This window comes from Homo sapiens, chromosome 4, assembly GCF_000001405.40.
Source record: "Homo sapiens chromosome 4, GRCh38.p14 Primary Assembly".
NCBI classification, from domain to species: Eukaryota; Metazoa; Chordata; class Mammalia; order Primates; family Hominidae; genus Homo; species Homo sapiens.
The window spans coordinates 4248901-4264101 of NC_000004.12; the positions used below are offsets into that span (position 1 = coordinate 4248901).

Below are 15201 nucleotides of genomic sequence, written 5' to 3' on the forward strand. Positions count from 1 at the left end.
CCACAAACTGTGTGTTACGAGTTCACAACTTTTTCTTCGTCAATAATCCCGCGTATTACTCTCCCAGCCGTTTCCCAGCGTGTCATGTGCTGAGAAATGGTGGGCTTAGCCACGCAAACGTTTACTGAGCATCTACTATTTGGTAGGAGCTGTTAGGCACCATGCTAGCAGTGGAGATAAAGATGAGTAAGACATGGCCTTGCACGTGAGGAGCTCCTTGTCCAAAGAAAACCACAGAGGTATATTACAAGAAAACTCTATTTGTAAATGTATGAAAGCATTTCATCAATGCAGCCAACATTTTCTGAGCAGCTGCATGTGATAAAATGGTGAGGACAGAAGAATCTAGTAGAGGAAGCAGCTTCAATACAGTGCCATAATAAAAACACTGTACATGGGGCATAATAGAAACACTGTACATATAAAGGGCAGTTTATTCTGCTGCAGTGTGGGAGAGCAGGGAGAGTGGTTTCAGGTGAGTTGAATACAGGGGTGGAGAGCCAGCTACATAGGAAGTAAAATTTGAATTAGTAGGCACTGTTTAATATCTTCGATGTGTTGGGGTGTTTGTAAAAGGAATGTAATAAGAAATACTCAAGAAAAGAGTGCCAGCCGCGCGCGGTGGCTCACGCCTGTAATCCCAACACTTTGCGAGGCCGAGGCGGGCGGATCACAAGGTCAGGCGTTTGAGACCAGCCTGGCCAACATGGCGAAACCCCGTCTCTACTAAAAATACAAAAGTTAGCCGGGAATGGTGGCCGGCACCTGTAATCCCAGCTACTCTGGAGGCTGAGGCAGGACAATCACTTGAACCTGGGAGAAGGAGGCTGCAGTGATCCTGCCACTGCACTCCAGCTTGGGCAACAGAGTGAGATTCCCTCTCAAAAATAAAAATAAAAAAAATTAAAAAAAAGAGAGAAATACCAAATCCCTACTGATTTATCATTTCTTCAGCCTTTCTTCCCCCTTCGGAGCACAGGATTTAACAGCTGGGTGGATCATATGGCCTTTCTAAACAATACCTCCTTTATCCTGTTTTTTTTTTTCTGTTTTTTTTTTCTTTCAAGACTCCTAAAGAACTGGATTCATTTATTCAAAGTCAACTGAAGTCTTTGCCCTCTCTTCTCTCTCGTACGGGGTTAGAAGCCTTGTTAACAGGAAGTGAATTTGTCCCATCAAATACAATCTTCTGTTGATTGTCTCCTCGAAAAAGGGTCAGTGCAGGGCCTCCGTGGTAACTGAATACTCCCAAGAGCATCGCCGCTATCCCAGGTTCCCATACATGGTATGTTCAGGTCAGATCAGGTTTCTCCTTTTGTGGTTTCGGGGCCTTTGAATTTGGATCTGAAATCCTTCCAGAGTTTTTTTCTCTGCAATTTTAAATGGCACTACTTGCACAGCATATTGATGATACTTAAAAGGAGGTTGGAAAAATTCCAGTATTTAATGACCACATCTTCATTTCTGAGGTCCATTAAAGAAGCCCTTTGGGCAGGTGCAGTGGCTCATGCCTGTAATCCCAGCACTTTGGGAGGCTGAGGCAGGTGGCACCTCAGCTCAAGAGTTTGAGACCAGCCTGGCCAACATGGTGAAACCCCGTCTCTACTAAAAATACAAAAAAAAAAAAAAAAATTAGCTGGGCATGGTAGCAAGCGCCTATAATCCCAGCTGCCTGGGAGGCTGAGGCAGGAGAATGGCTTGAACCCAGGAAGTGGAGGTTGCAGTAAGCCAAGACCACCCATTGCACTCCAGCCTGGGCAGCAAGAGTGAAACTCTGTCTCAAAAAAAAAAGAAAGAAAAGAAAAGAAACCCTTCAATGTGTGTACTGTGGCACCCTAATTATAGATAGATATGTGATACCAGATTTGCTACCAATTAAGAAATTTTCATTTTCAATGTGGATTACTTGTGGGGAACAAATGAATTTCATTGTGACCTTTACTGGCCCCCCCTTAGCAACATAGTTAAATCCAAGGTGTGTATAGACTGTCAAATCCTGCCTCCATCACTGTGGGTCTTTGGGCAAGTTATTTTATTGTTCTAAGTATCAGTTTGCTCATCTGTGAAACATCGGGTATTGGAGTGAAGATACATGTATACAGATTGTTTAGCTTAGTGCCTGGCATACATAGTTTGCCTCCAAACAGCAGTAGTTACTATTCTTAGTAATTTGGCTTGCCAGGCCTTCAAGATCCGGCACCTGTTCGCCCCTTGATCAGTGTTCCCTTGTCCCTGGGTTCCAGTGACTCTATTCATGTCTCTCTTCCAAGAATTACCAAGCTTTATTGTTATTTTCCTTTTGCCCTGTGTTTCCCCCAGTTGATTGGGAGAAACAACCATGTCTTGGTATCCCCCAGTACCTTGCAAACACCGAGCACACGGCAGGAACTCCATTAGCTGTGCTTACTTTGGTCCTTGAGCACAGCTAACTTGTCTTCAATATGGATATACATGTGTCTGCCTACCTCTGAGAAACCACTGCTGCTTTCTATAGTGGTCCTGCTCAGATCCCAGAGACTGACCCCGTCCTAGGGGAGGGCACAAGACCCAAAACAGACCTCTCATCCTCCACGTCTTAGGCTGGGAAGATGTTCACGGTTGCTTTGATATGGTGAGCTCTGAGGTCAGTTTGGGCTTGGGGCTGCTGTTCTGGAAATGGGAGCCCACGTGGGAAGGAAGCACTGAGAGGCAAGCTAAGAGGTCTTGGTAGCATTGCGCCGCCTCCCAGATCTAGCCAAGCCTTAGTTAATCCTGTTAAGGAACTGAGCTCTGGAGCTAGCTGCCTGCCTGGCTGTCATTGCCGGTCCTGTCATTACTGACTCTTTGAACCTTGAGAAAGCATCTTATCCACTCTTTGCCTTAGTTTCCTCACTTGCAAAATGGGGTTAAGAATAATACCCACCTCACAGGATTGGGTAAAGATTAAAAGTATTAATACATGCGAAGTCTTTAGAGCAGCCCATAGAAAACTCTCAGTAAATCTTAGCTGTTATTATCCATTGCTGAGACTTTACAGATGGTTAAATTTTCCCTTTTTTAAATTAATTTTAATTTCAGTTGTTTTCTGTTACTTGAAACTCTGAGGCCAGACCAGTACCACCCTGTTCTCTCACTGTGCTGTGTAGCTGCCCCATTGGTCCCCAGGTATTCTGTGAGCGCCTCCAGGAATGAGAATACAGGTAAAGCTCTTAGAAAAGTACCTGGCATATGGAAAGTGCTCAGTGAATGTTAATATCTATCATTTAGGATACTGTTCTTCATTCCAAGAAGAAAGCTAGTTTTAAAAAGTTCTTCCATTGATTGTATAAAAACACAATAAAATGTGTGCCTATTTCTACACAGCTGTGATTATTCCCCTGGTAAAAGCTATAGCATTGGAATCCCTAGATCAAAAGATACAAACGTTTTAAAGACTTTTTTTTTTTTTTTTTTAGATGGAGTCTTGCTCTGTCACCAGGCTGGAGTGCAGTGGCATGATCTCAGCTCACTGCAACCTCTGTCTCCTGGGTTCAAGCAATTCTCCTACCTCAGCCTGCCGAGTAGCTGGGACTACAGGCGCATGCCACCATGCCCGGCTAATTTCGGCTAATTTTTGTATTTTTAGTAGAGACGGGATTTTTTTTTTTTTTTTTTTTTTTTGTGAGACGGAGTCTCGCTCTGTTGCCCAGGCTGGAGTGCAGTGGCGCGATCTCTGCTCACTGCAAGCTCCGCCTCCCGAGTTCACGCCATTCTCCTGCCTCAGCCTCCTGAGTAGCTGGGACTACAGGCGCCCGCCACCACACCAGGCTAATTTTTTACATTTTTAGTAGAGACGGGGTTTCACTATGTTAGCCAGGATGATCTCGATCTCCTGACCTTGTGATCCGCCCGCCTCGGCCTCCCAAAGTGCTGGGATTACAGGAGTGAACCACGGCGCCTGGCCATTTTAAAGACTTTTGATTGATATTTTCAAAGAAGGTCCAGAAAGGACTTACCATACTACTGTAGTTTAAATTCCCACCAGCAGAGGGCAGGAGAGGCCATCTTCAATGTTTGCACCAACAGCGGGCTTTATCATTTTGATAAATTTTTCCCAAGTGATAGTTGTTGGCCGGGGCGAACTGCCATTTTAATTTGCTTTTCTTTGCTAACAGATTTTTTTATGTTAATCGACTATGCATATGTCTTTTTCCTTTTGGAATTTTCATTTTTGCATATTTTGATAGATCAAGGCTGTCTGTCTTTGAACCTCAAATATGTGGCAAGTCTACTTTTTTTCCAATTTGTTTACCTTTTAAGTTTGATCATATTCAATATACGTTCATACCTATGTTTTGTTTCTTACTTCTCATACCATGTGATGAAGAGAGTTGGAATGGGCTTGCCCTGTAGGGTCTAAATGGAAAAGCATGTTTCATGGAAAGTGTTCAGTCGATGTTAGTGTCTTTCACTTAGGGGACATACTATGTGGTAAAAATCACTTGAATCATCTTCAAGTGAGCCTAGTTATTCCTCACCCATTCATTACTCAAACTAGCTGTACTGTGAGAGGTTCTACCCACGACAGAAACCAACTTTAACCAGCCTGTGATGGTTAATACCGAGTGTCAACTTGATGGGATTGAAGGATGCAAAGCATTGATCCTGGGTGTGTCTGCGAGGGTGTGGCCAAAGGAGATTAACATTTGAGCCAGTGGGCTGGGAAAGGCAGACCCACCCTCAATCTGGGTGGGCACCATCTAATCAGCTGCCAGCACAGCTAGAATATAAAGCAGGCAGACAAATGTGAAAAGGCTAGACTGGCTTAGCATCCCAGCCTACATCTTTCCCCTGTGCAGGATGCTTCCTGCCCTTGAACATCGGACTCCAATTCTTTAGTTTTGGGACTCGGACTGGCTCTCCTTGCTCCTCAGCCTGCAGATGGCCTATTGTGTAACGTTGTGATCGTCTGAATTAATAATAAACTCTCCTTTATTTGTATATATGTGTGTGTGTATATATATATATATATATATATATATATATGTCCTGTTAGTTCTGTCCCTCTAGAGAACTCTAATACACAGCCTAAGCAAAATAGTAACAGTAATGACAACAGTAATAATGGGCTGTGCACAGTGGCTCACACCTGTAATACCAACACTTCAGGAGGCTGAGGCGGGAGGATCGCTTGAGCCCAGGAGTTGGACACCAGCCTGGGCAATATAATAAGACCTTGTCTCTATCTATAATAATAATGACAGTAATAATCATTATCATCATAAAATACACGTACAGTTTTTTAGAAAGAAACCTATTAGAATTCCTCTGAACTGTTTCATAAGATTGAAAGAAAAATAGGATTTCCATCAAGCCTGAGTGAGCGTGAAGCCCAGGAAGCTCATGATGCAGCTTTGAGGACACTGTGCGTCTGTCACATATGGTGTGCCCGCCGTCATCCCTGTGGAACTCACCACTTCAGTGCCTGCCAGCCCTACTTCTGACTCTCAGCACCTGCGCCGCTTTGCCTGGGGTTTTCTCTGGATGCATTCTATTTAAGCAGCGAGATGGAGGGGTTTCTCACAGAAGCGAAGTCAACGTGAGCACAACAGCTGTCTGCTGCACTGGCAGAAAAGGGCCGCGAGTGAGCCTCTAAGGACAGACAGTGTGTTGTTTTCTGAAATAGGATGTTGGGGAGAAGAACAGAGAATAGAGATGCTGGTCTCAACCAAAATATCAGGAACAGGGAAAAGGACAGTTCCTATAACCAGAAAGAAGAGGGGAGAGGTAGGAGGGAGCTGGCCTTGATTGAGAGGCCAGGTGGGCAGGACCCTTGACTATGTAAGTGTCCCCAAGCACTCCTGAAATTTCTGGCTGTGCGGCAACATTTGGGTTCCAGTTCTGTGGGAGGACAATTTCTTTTATTAAATTGCTGCCATTCAGGTTGAGGGCCACTACCAGGCTGGCAAACCTAGAGGACAATGGAGGCGGGTCCTGGCCGACTGCCCTTCCCAGGCGAACCCTGCAGCCTTGTCAGTCTTGTCACTGGCTGATTGTTCGGTGCCTGGAACTTGGTCTGTTACTGCTTTGCAGATGATCAAATAAAGCAGACTCATTTTTTTCTCTTTCAAAAAAAACCCTATATATTTGAATGATGGCCGTGCCTGATATTACCATCCATAAAACCATGATAAAGGCTTTCTGATCACATGGCCCATCACGGAACCCGCTTAGAAAACCCTGTTGTTTTTAATTAAAACCCTACTTGCAAGATCTTTTTAATAGTGATCTAATCAGTACTGAGAAAGGGAAGGGGGAAACAAGAAGGGGGTCCTGACCAATGGAAAATGCTGGCCAGGAGAATACAAAGAAATCAAGGAGACACCTGTTGTGCCAAAACCCTATTGACTCCAATGTAGATACCGCCAGGTTCAACAAGCTAAAGAAGAGACCCAGAGCCAGAGCAAACGAGACATGGAGTGTTACATACAAGAGAGAGTCTGCTGGTGCAGGGCTGGCCTGGATAACTGCACCTGCTTTCGAAAGGCATGCAGCTTATATAGCATCTTCTTTTGACACCCACCCCTAACAACCTCCACGCTATCCCTAGCAACCTTCATGCAACCCAAAACTCAGGGCTTCAATATCCCCTGTACAGCTCGTGTTTCACAGGACAGGACAGGACAGGGGCTCAGATGACAAGGAAAGAATCTCTGGTTGGCCAGTCCCGGATTCCCTAATCTGGAACACACATTCAGGTGCATCTGCCATAAAGGTCATTCCCAGGGTCTGCTTAAGTTATTGCTATCAGATGCATTTACCATACAGCACCTGAGTTCAAATCAGTCCTGATTCTGCTACTTACCATGTGGCCTGGGACAAGTCACGTAAGCTCTCGGCACCTGCTCATCTATGAAGGGGGAGCAATAACGCCTCCCTCCTAGAGATTTTGAAAAGCTTAATGATACATGTAAAGGGCTTATTACTATGCCTGGCATATAGGAAGTACCCATGAAAGGGAACAATTCATATTAAAGTGGAATCCAGGCAGTGGGGAAAGGCTGCCCACGAAGGCCTCATGGTCACTCCCAGGGGAGCAGCAGCAGGTCATTGCAACGCGGCCTTGAAGGGGTGAGGCTGGTGGCCATGCCAGGAGAAAGAGGGCAGGAAGCAGTGGAAGAAAGGATGACTGTGGTGCAAACTGGCCATCATTTACCATGCCCCTCACGTGTTAACTACGCCATCCTCACAGCAGCTGGATGAGGCAGTTACTGTTATAATTCCTATTTCATACATGAGAAAATGGAGGCACCAGCCTTTTTTGTTATGAGATTCAAAGGAGCTTCTTTCAAGTATTCCTTTGCTATGAATGATTAAACTCTCCGTTTGGTAGTTTAATTACAATTACTGAGAAAATACCTACTTTGTCGGAGTTCAAAAGTCAGCCATCCCTCAGGTCTTTGCTCCGTAGGCTCAAAGCTAGGAAAGTGGGGGAGCTAGGATACTAACCCAAGCTTTCGGCTGCCAGGCTAAACTGCGTCTCATGACTCAAAGCACCTCAGGACATAAGCTATTTGTCAGTGTCAGAAGCCGGGTGTGGTGGCTCACACCTGTTATCATGGCACTTTGGGAGGCCGAGGTGGGCAGATCACCTGAGGTCAGGAGTTTGAGACCAGCCTGGCCAACATGGTGAAACCCCATCTCTACTAAAAATACAAAAATTAGCCAGGTGTGCTGGTGCACACCTGTAGTCCCAGCTACTCTGGAGGCTGAGGCAGGAGAATCGCTTGAACCTGGGAAGCGGAGGTTGCAGTGAGCCGAGATCGTACCACTGCACTCCAGCCTGGGCAACAGAGCTAGACTCCACCTCACAGAAAAGAAAGAAAGTCAGTGTCAGCTTCCAACCCAAGCTGGGGTCCGAGGGGAGTAGGTGGACCGGTGGCGGGTAGCTGAAAGAACACTCGAGGGATCTTATACAGGTGGGATATGGCTTTATTCTCTGTGTCAGCCTTTGTCTTGGCTGCCTGCTCAGCAGCCCCACTCAGTGCCAGCTCCACAGTCTGCAGCTGCACTCCCCAGTGTGCTCACCATTTCCTGGCTCCACCCACCCACCCCCACCTGCAAGGCAGCCAACTCCATTATGCATGCCTTCTCACAGTGTTCGTGATACATTTGTGCGCTTCACAGACAATAGCGGCTCAGAGCCAGGGGATGAGCCCACCCATAACATGGTTACATAACTGATTATATGCTGCACGGGATTGTGCACCTGCACTCCAATCCCACTGCGTCATGCTGCACCGGATATTTACCTCGGCCCACTCTTGATGGCAGCGCAGCCATTTCCTTTTCCCTTCCCTGGGGCCATTCTTGCTGAATGCTGGCTCCATGGTGCTGGCCATCTCCATAGATGAGAAGCCAGGAGGGAAGATGTGGCAACCTGGGTGCCCCTTTCCACCCAGACCCGTGGCAGATGTTGCTGATCAAATGCAGCATTTATTTCCCTTTGACAGCCAGGTGGAAGCCTCAAAATCCTGAAGAGCACCGGAAAATCACTGCCAGTTGACTAGAGTTAGTTGTAGTGTCAGATAGAATCTATTTGCCATCCCTTGCTTGAGGGCTTAGGACATGCCCAATAATAGTACAGAAATTCAATAAGGTATTCGCCAACTGAGGGTCACTTTTATGCCAGTAAGAATCTGCATGTCATCCCCTTGAGAGACTCCACACCTCCTCATCAAGAAGTAGTGAAAATGACATCCGGGTGTGATTTCTCACAAAAGAGAAAGGAACGAAAGAAATTTTTTTTAATGTAAAAAGGAAAATCATACCATTTGACCCAGCAATCCCATTACTGGGTATATACTCAGGAATATAAATCATTGTATTATAAAGATACATGCACACATATGTTCATTGCAGCATTATTCAAAATAGCAAAGACTTGGAACCAACCCAAATGCCCATCAATGATAGACTGGAAAAAGAAAATGTGGTACATATACACCATGGAATACTATGCAGCCATCAAAAGGAACAAGAGAATATCCTCTGCAGGGACATGGATGAAGCTGAAAGCCATTATCCTCAGCAAACTAATGCAGAAACAGAAAACCAAACACCACATGTTCTCACTTACAAGTGGAAGCCGAACAATGAGAACACACGGACACAGAGAGGGGAACAACACACACTGGGGCCTACTGGAGGGCAGCGGTGGGGTTGGGGAGAACATTAGGGAAAGGAGCTAATGCATGCTGGGCTTCATACTTAGGTGATGGGATGATCTGTGCAGCAAACCACATGGCACATGTTTACCTATGCAACAAACGTACACATCCTGCACATGTACCCCAGAACGTATAAAAATAATTAAAAAAAAGAAAATCACAAACGTCAATGTGCAAACACATGTTTGAACACAGCGTATGAGGAAATCCCTCTGCCAACCTTAGAAAAATCAAAGTGTTGCCAGGAGCAGTGGCTCACGCCTGTAATCCCAGCACTTTGGGAGGCCAAGGCAGGTGGATCACCTGAGGTCAGGAGTTCGAGACCAGCCTGAACAACATGGAGAACCCCATCTCTACTAAAAATACAAAATTAGCCGGGCATGGTGGTGCATGCCGGTAATCCCAGCTACTCAGGAGCCTGAGGCAGAAGAACTGCTTGAACCCGGGAGGCAGGGGTTGTGGCTAGCCGAGACCGCGCCATTGCACTCCAGCCTCGGCAACAAGAGCAAAACTCTTTCTCAAAAAAAAAAGAAAGAAAGAAAGAAAGAAAGAAAGAAAAGAATAGACAAAGGAGAGAAACTGTCAGCCTTTCAAGACTGGCAACCGTGAGCAGAATGCCCAGCTGTGAGGGAAAGGACAACCATATTAGAATCCCAGCCTGGGTGCTGTGATGCGGCAAGAAGCAGACCTGACATTCAGGAACCGACACAGCACCTGGCACAAAGAGCCCCCAAGATACAGTAGCTAGGCCGGGCGCGGTGGCTCACGCCTGTAATCCCAGCAATTTGGGAGGCCGACGCGGGCAGATCACCTGAGGTCAGGAGTTCAAGACCAGCCTGGCCAACATGGCAAAACCCCGTCTCTACAAAACATACAAAAATTAGCCGGGCGTGGTGATGTGCCCTTGTAGTCCCAGCTACTCGGGAGTCTGAGTTACAAGAATCACTTGAACCTGGGAGGCAGAGGTTGCAGTGAGCTGATATCATGCCACTGTACTCCAGCCTGGGTGACAGTGAGACTCTGTCTCAAAAAAAAAAAAAAAAAAAAAAAAAAAAAAGATACAGTAGCTGCCATCATTACAATTGTCTTGAAGTTACTGCCTATCCCTATAGACCCACAACTCTCAAACTCATTCACACAGTAGAGTGCCAGGCACACTTTTGTAGAACATCATGAAATCTGGATAAATTAAGCAAAAAATAGCCAAGTGCTATAAATGTTTATGCCAGCTCTCCTAGCATCTAAATTAGAATCTCATGGCCACAGATGCCAAAAGGCTTAAGAGGTGTTACGCAGGGACACTAAAACTGAGAAATTCTATGACCTTAACTTTTTTCTGAAACCTGCAAGAGAGACTACCGTTTCAAGTTCAGCTGTATAATACCTCCCTGTTCAGTATAAAATCAGTCTGAGCGGGGCTATCCTATGACATTACTACTATAGTATCCTGATTCAAATTTGCTGCCAAATCCCCAAAGCCATGCTGTTAGCAACTGCTCAGTGGAACCGAATCTTTCCCTACCTTTGATCTACAATGGACAGAAGTCGGCCTGAGGTCACCGGGAAGGGAGGAGGGCAGCAAAGGTGGTATTTCAACAGCTCACAATACCCGCTCTGTGGCCAAACAAAGGCCTGACCTCCTGAGCGATGTGTGACCTTTAAACTCTGACAAACATATGTATTTACTCAGCAATTACAATTTAAACTACCCAAGGGGCAGTTTAATCACTTGTATCAGAGGGAATAAATTAAAGCTTCCCTAGATCCCATAACAGCAACAAGAAATGAAAGTAGCATTTGCACTCAAAAGAAAACAAAGAAACTTCTCTTTTCACCAGTACATACCATTTTTCTTTTTCTCAGAAATCGTCTGTGTTGTAATCGAGACAGACAGTGAGAAGCAGGGTCCAACCCCAAATTACAGAAGCTGTTAAATCTAATGATAAGTGAGCCGAGAGCAAGATCTCAAGTTTCTTAAATATGAAAAGGACAGGGGAAGGCAGATGCTATTCTTTAAGCTGGAAGAAATTACTGTTCCGTTTTATTTTTAACATCATCCAAGACTGAAATCCGCTGGGAAAATGGAGTCACCATTTTCCACAGTTTTATCATCCAGTGGTACCCGGTGACTTTGGTTGACAGCATCCAATAAGAGAGCTATTTTGAAAAGATAAACACAGAGATGGAAATGGGAGTAATACTAAATTTCGGTGCATTTTTTGGCAAAATAAATGCATATACCCTCAAATACTGAGGGTGGCAGTATAAACTGCTAAAAAGCCCTCTCAAAACTGGCTACATCTGTTAAAGCTGAAATATACCCTATGACTTAGTACTGCCACCTGTGGGCATATACTCAGTAGCAATGAGAAAGTGTATGTACACACTAGGAGATGAGGAGAAGATGTCATCGATTTCATGAGAAACCTAGCCACCCTGAAACAGCTGAACATTTTATTGATTGATTGATTGATTGATTGAGACAGAGTCTTGCTCTGTTGCCCAGGCTGGAGTACAGTGGCGTAATCTCTGCTCACTGCAACCTCTGCCTCCCTGATTCAAGCGATTCTCCAGCCTCAGCCTCCCAAGTAGCTGGGATTACAGGTGCGTGCCACCACACCCAGCTAATTTTTGTAATTTTAGTAGAGATGGGGTTTCATTATGTTGGCCAGGCTGGTCTTGAATTCCTGACCTCAAGTGATCCACCCGCCTCGGCCTCCCAGAGTGCTGGGATTACAGGCGTGAGCCACCGAGCCCTGCCTTTATTTTTATTTTTTGAGACAGGGTCTCACTCTCTCATTTAGGCTGGAATGCAGTGACATGATTAATGCTCACTGCAACCTCCAACTCCTGGGCTGAAACAATCCTCCCGCCTCAGCCTCTGGAGTTGCTGGGACTACAGGTGCTTATAGGCATGTGCCACCACACCTGGCTAATTTTTTTATTTTTTATTTTTTGTAGAGATGGGGTCTCGCTATGTTGCCCAGATTGCTTTTGAACTCCCGGGCTCAAGTGATTCTCCCGCCTCTGCCTCCCATAGCACTGGGATTACAGGCATGGGCCACCACACCAGTCTGTAAAATCCAACATTTCATCAAGAGATGAATCTCATGGAATGTTGGGTGAAAGAAGCAAGACACAAACAGATACATGCTGTGTGGTTTCATTTACATCAAGTTCAAAACCAGGCAAAACCAACCCATGCAGACAGAAGTAAGGTGGGCCGAATAGTCTGTTTCTTGATTTAGGTGTGGGCACTCTGTGAAACTCATGAAGCAGTACATTTACATTTTACATATGTATACTTCAATAGAAACCTGCATTAAAATATTAACTCATATAGGTTTGGCAGTCGTAGGATTGTGTCTTTGTTCAGAAAAATAGTTACACAGTAACTGTAAACTAGAGTGCTACTTCAAAAATTGAAGTGGATTTCTTCATTTAAATGCTGTATGGTTTGGCCTCGCTGATTCTTCTTTGCTGCAGTCCAGTCACTTAGAGAGCTTTGTGCATGAAAAAGTAAGGCGTCAGATCCTGTCTGTTGGGCCAGTGCCTCGGACAACCAATGGTAGACACTGCTCGGTCTGTGTACTTCCTGTACTTTAAGAGGAGATATTTTCAGACACCTACTATGTGCTACTTTGTGTACAGTATATCAATTTCACTCTATCTACCATAGAAAGTTGGTGTAAGAGAAAAACCCCTGAGGTTTAGAGATGCTAAGTAACCTGCCCACGCAGGGACCTTTGGCGAGTGAGATACAAAGCTCAGATTCAACCTTGAGTCTCATTCTGGCACATGGACCCTGTTTAGAACATGTCACCTCATACAGCCTGGGTGAAAATAGAGTGGCAGGAATATGGAAAGTGTCTTAAAACATCAAGCAGTTAATAGATAACAATTTAAATTCCAAGAATCAATCCGGGGGCCTTTAATAACCTTGTGCCCTCCATCCCCACCCAGGCAAAATTAAGCAGTCCTTCTCAGGCCCACGTTCTAACCAGCACACCTCATAACACTCCTTGTGTTGGCCTCAGTATTGTCTCTTCCTTCCTGAAGACCTCAGTGCCCGAGTACCCAGCCTAGATCTCAGCCCGGGTGGGCAATCTGGAATGATTTTATTAGTCCTTGTGACTTAGAATGGGTTCGATGATACAAGGGCTTGGTACAGAATTGCAGGCACAAAGGGCACTAGAGGACTGAGATCTCAACAAGTTTGTGAGGGAAGCAAAACTCAAGACACGTAAGACAATTTCCCAACACTATTCTTTATTTTATTTATTATTTATTTATTTATTTATTTTATTTTTTTGAGACAGAGTCTCACTCTGCTGCCCAGGCTGGAGTGCAGTGGCATGATCTTGGGTCACTGCAGCCTCTGCCTCCCAGGCTCAAGTGATCCTCCCAAGTAGCTGGGAGGACTACAGGCGTGAGCCACCACACCAGGCAGATTTTTGTATATTTTTGTAGAGTCGGCGTCTTGCTACATTGCCCAGGCTAGTCTTGAACTCCTGGGCTCAAGCGATCCACCCGCCTCAGCCTTCCAAAGTGTTGAGATTATAGTAATAGGTGTGAGCCACTGCCAGCCTACCATGTGAAATCCCACCACATGCTTATGACCAGTACTTCCTCTTACAAAATGGAAAAGGCCGGGCGGGCGCGGTGGCTCATGCCTGTAATCCCGGCACTTTGGAAGGCCGAGGCAGGTGGATCACGAGGTCAGGAGATCGAGACCATCCTGGCTAACACAGTGAAACCCCGTCTCTACTAAAAATACAAAAAAATTAGCCGGGCATGGTGCCGAGCACCTGTAGTCTCAGCTACTCGGGAGGCTGAGGCAGGAGAACGGCGTGAACCCGGGAGGCAGAGCTTGCAGTGAGCTGAGATCGCGCCACTGCACTCCAGCCTGGGTGACAGAGCGAGACTCTGTCTCAAAAACAAACAAACAAACAAAAAGAAAGAAAGAAATTGAAAAGGGCGAGCTTTCTCCTACCTTCCAACTCTTTTGCTAAAATCCAGTTTACTGGAATGAGAACAAGGATTAACTACACAAACAACCTCCCGCCCACATGTAATTCAGGAATCACTATAAGGTAACACTTTCTGTACTTAGTAAATGAGAAACATAATACGCTCCCTGAGTGAAAAAGAAATTTAGAAGGCCTATTTTAGCCATTTCTTGAAAGCTTAATTTGGAGAAGGGATAAAGGCTGAATATATTCTGAGATCAACCACAAAGAACAGGTAAATATATAGGATATGCCTTTCTCTTATCTTGGATGATGATAATAATTGATCTCCAATTTTCTTCAACAAGGGAAGGAGTTACAAGCTTGAGCGCTATGGTGTCCTGGTTCTAAATCCAGGCAAATTCAACAACATACAATTATCTGCTTTATGCTGGAGTCCCGGTTCGTCATTGAGCCAAAAAAAGAATAACACCCGCTAGGAGGATCAGTTTTCAATGGTGGAGTAAAGAACTATGATATACTCTCAATAGCTTTCACTAATGGAGATGAATTGGATAAAACTACTTGATCTCTTAAAACTTTCTTTATTCGACTGCAAAAGTGCTATCTAAAAGACAGCAATCTATACCAAAGACTGCCTTTTTAAAACAATGTTTTATTCCTAGAAATCTCTTTTTGGACAAGAGAGGCAATTCAAGGGTAGTGAGATTACCAAAGTATATTGTTTAAGAGGACCTGGTCAGCTCAAGTTTTAACTTTCTTTCTTTCTTTCTTTCTTTCGAGACAGAGTTTCGCTCTGGTTGCCCAGGCTGGAGTGCAGTGGTGCGATCTTGGCTCAGCACAACCTCTGCCTCCCGGGTTCAAGAGATACTTCTACCTCAGCCTCCCGAGTAGCTGGGATTACAGGCATGCACCACCAAGCCCAGCTAATTTTGTATTTTTAGTAGAGATGGGGTTTCCCCATGTTGGTCAGGCTGGTTCTCGAACTCCCGACCTCCGGTGATCCGCCCACCTCAGCCTCCCAAAGTGTTGGGATTACAGGC

General features: G+C 45.2%; 2 annotated features.

Moving 5' to 3' along the window:
* Window positions 8140–8640: an enhancer, noted in NCBI's record as "H3K4me1 hESC enhancer chr4:4258767-4259267 (GRCh37/hg19 assembly coordinates)". NCBI's record gives its function as "activates a minimal SCP1, AML or CMV promoter by ChIP-STARR-seq in primed H9 embryonic stem cells {active_cell/tissue: H9 hESC(primed)}" and the evidence as "EXISTENCE:reporter gene assay evidence [ECO:0000049][PMID:30033119]".
* Window positions 10622–10916: an enhancer, noted in NCBI's record as "tiled region #9855; HepG2 Activating DNase matched - State 1:Tss". NCBI's record gives its function as "activates a minimal TATA promoter and a strong SV40 promoter by Sharpr-MPRA in HepG2 cells {active_cell/tissue: HepG2}" and the evidence as "EXISTENCE:reporter gene assay evidence [ECO:0000049][PMID:27701403]".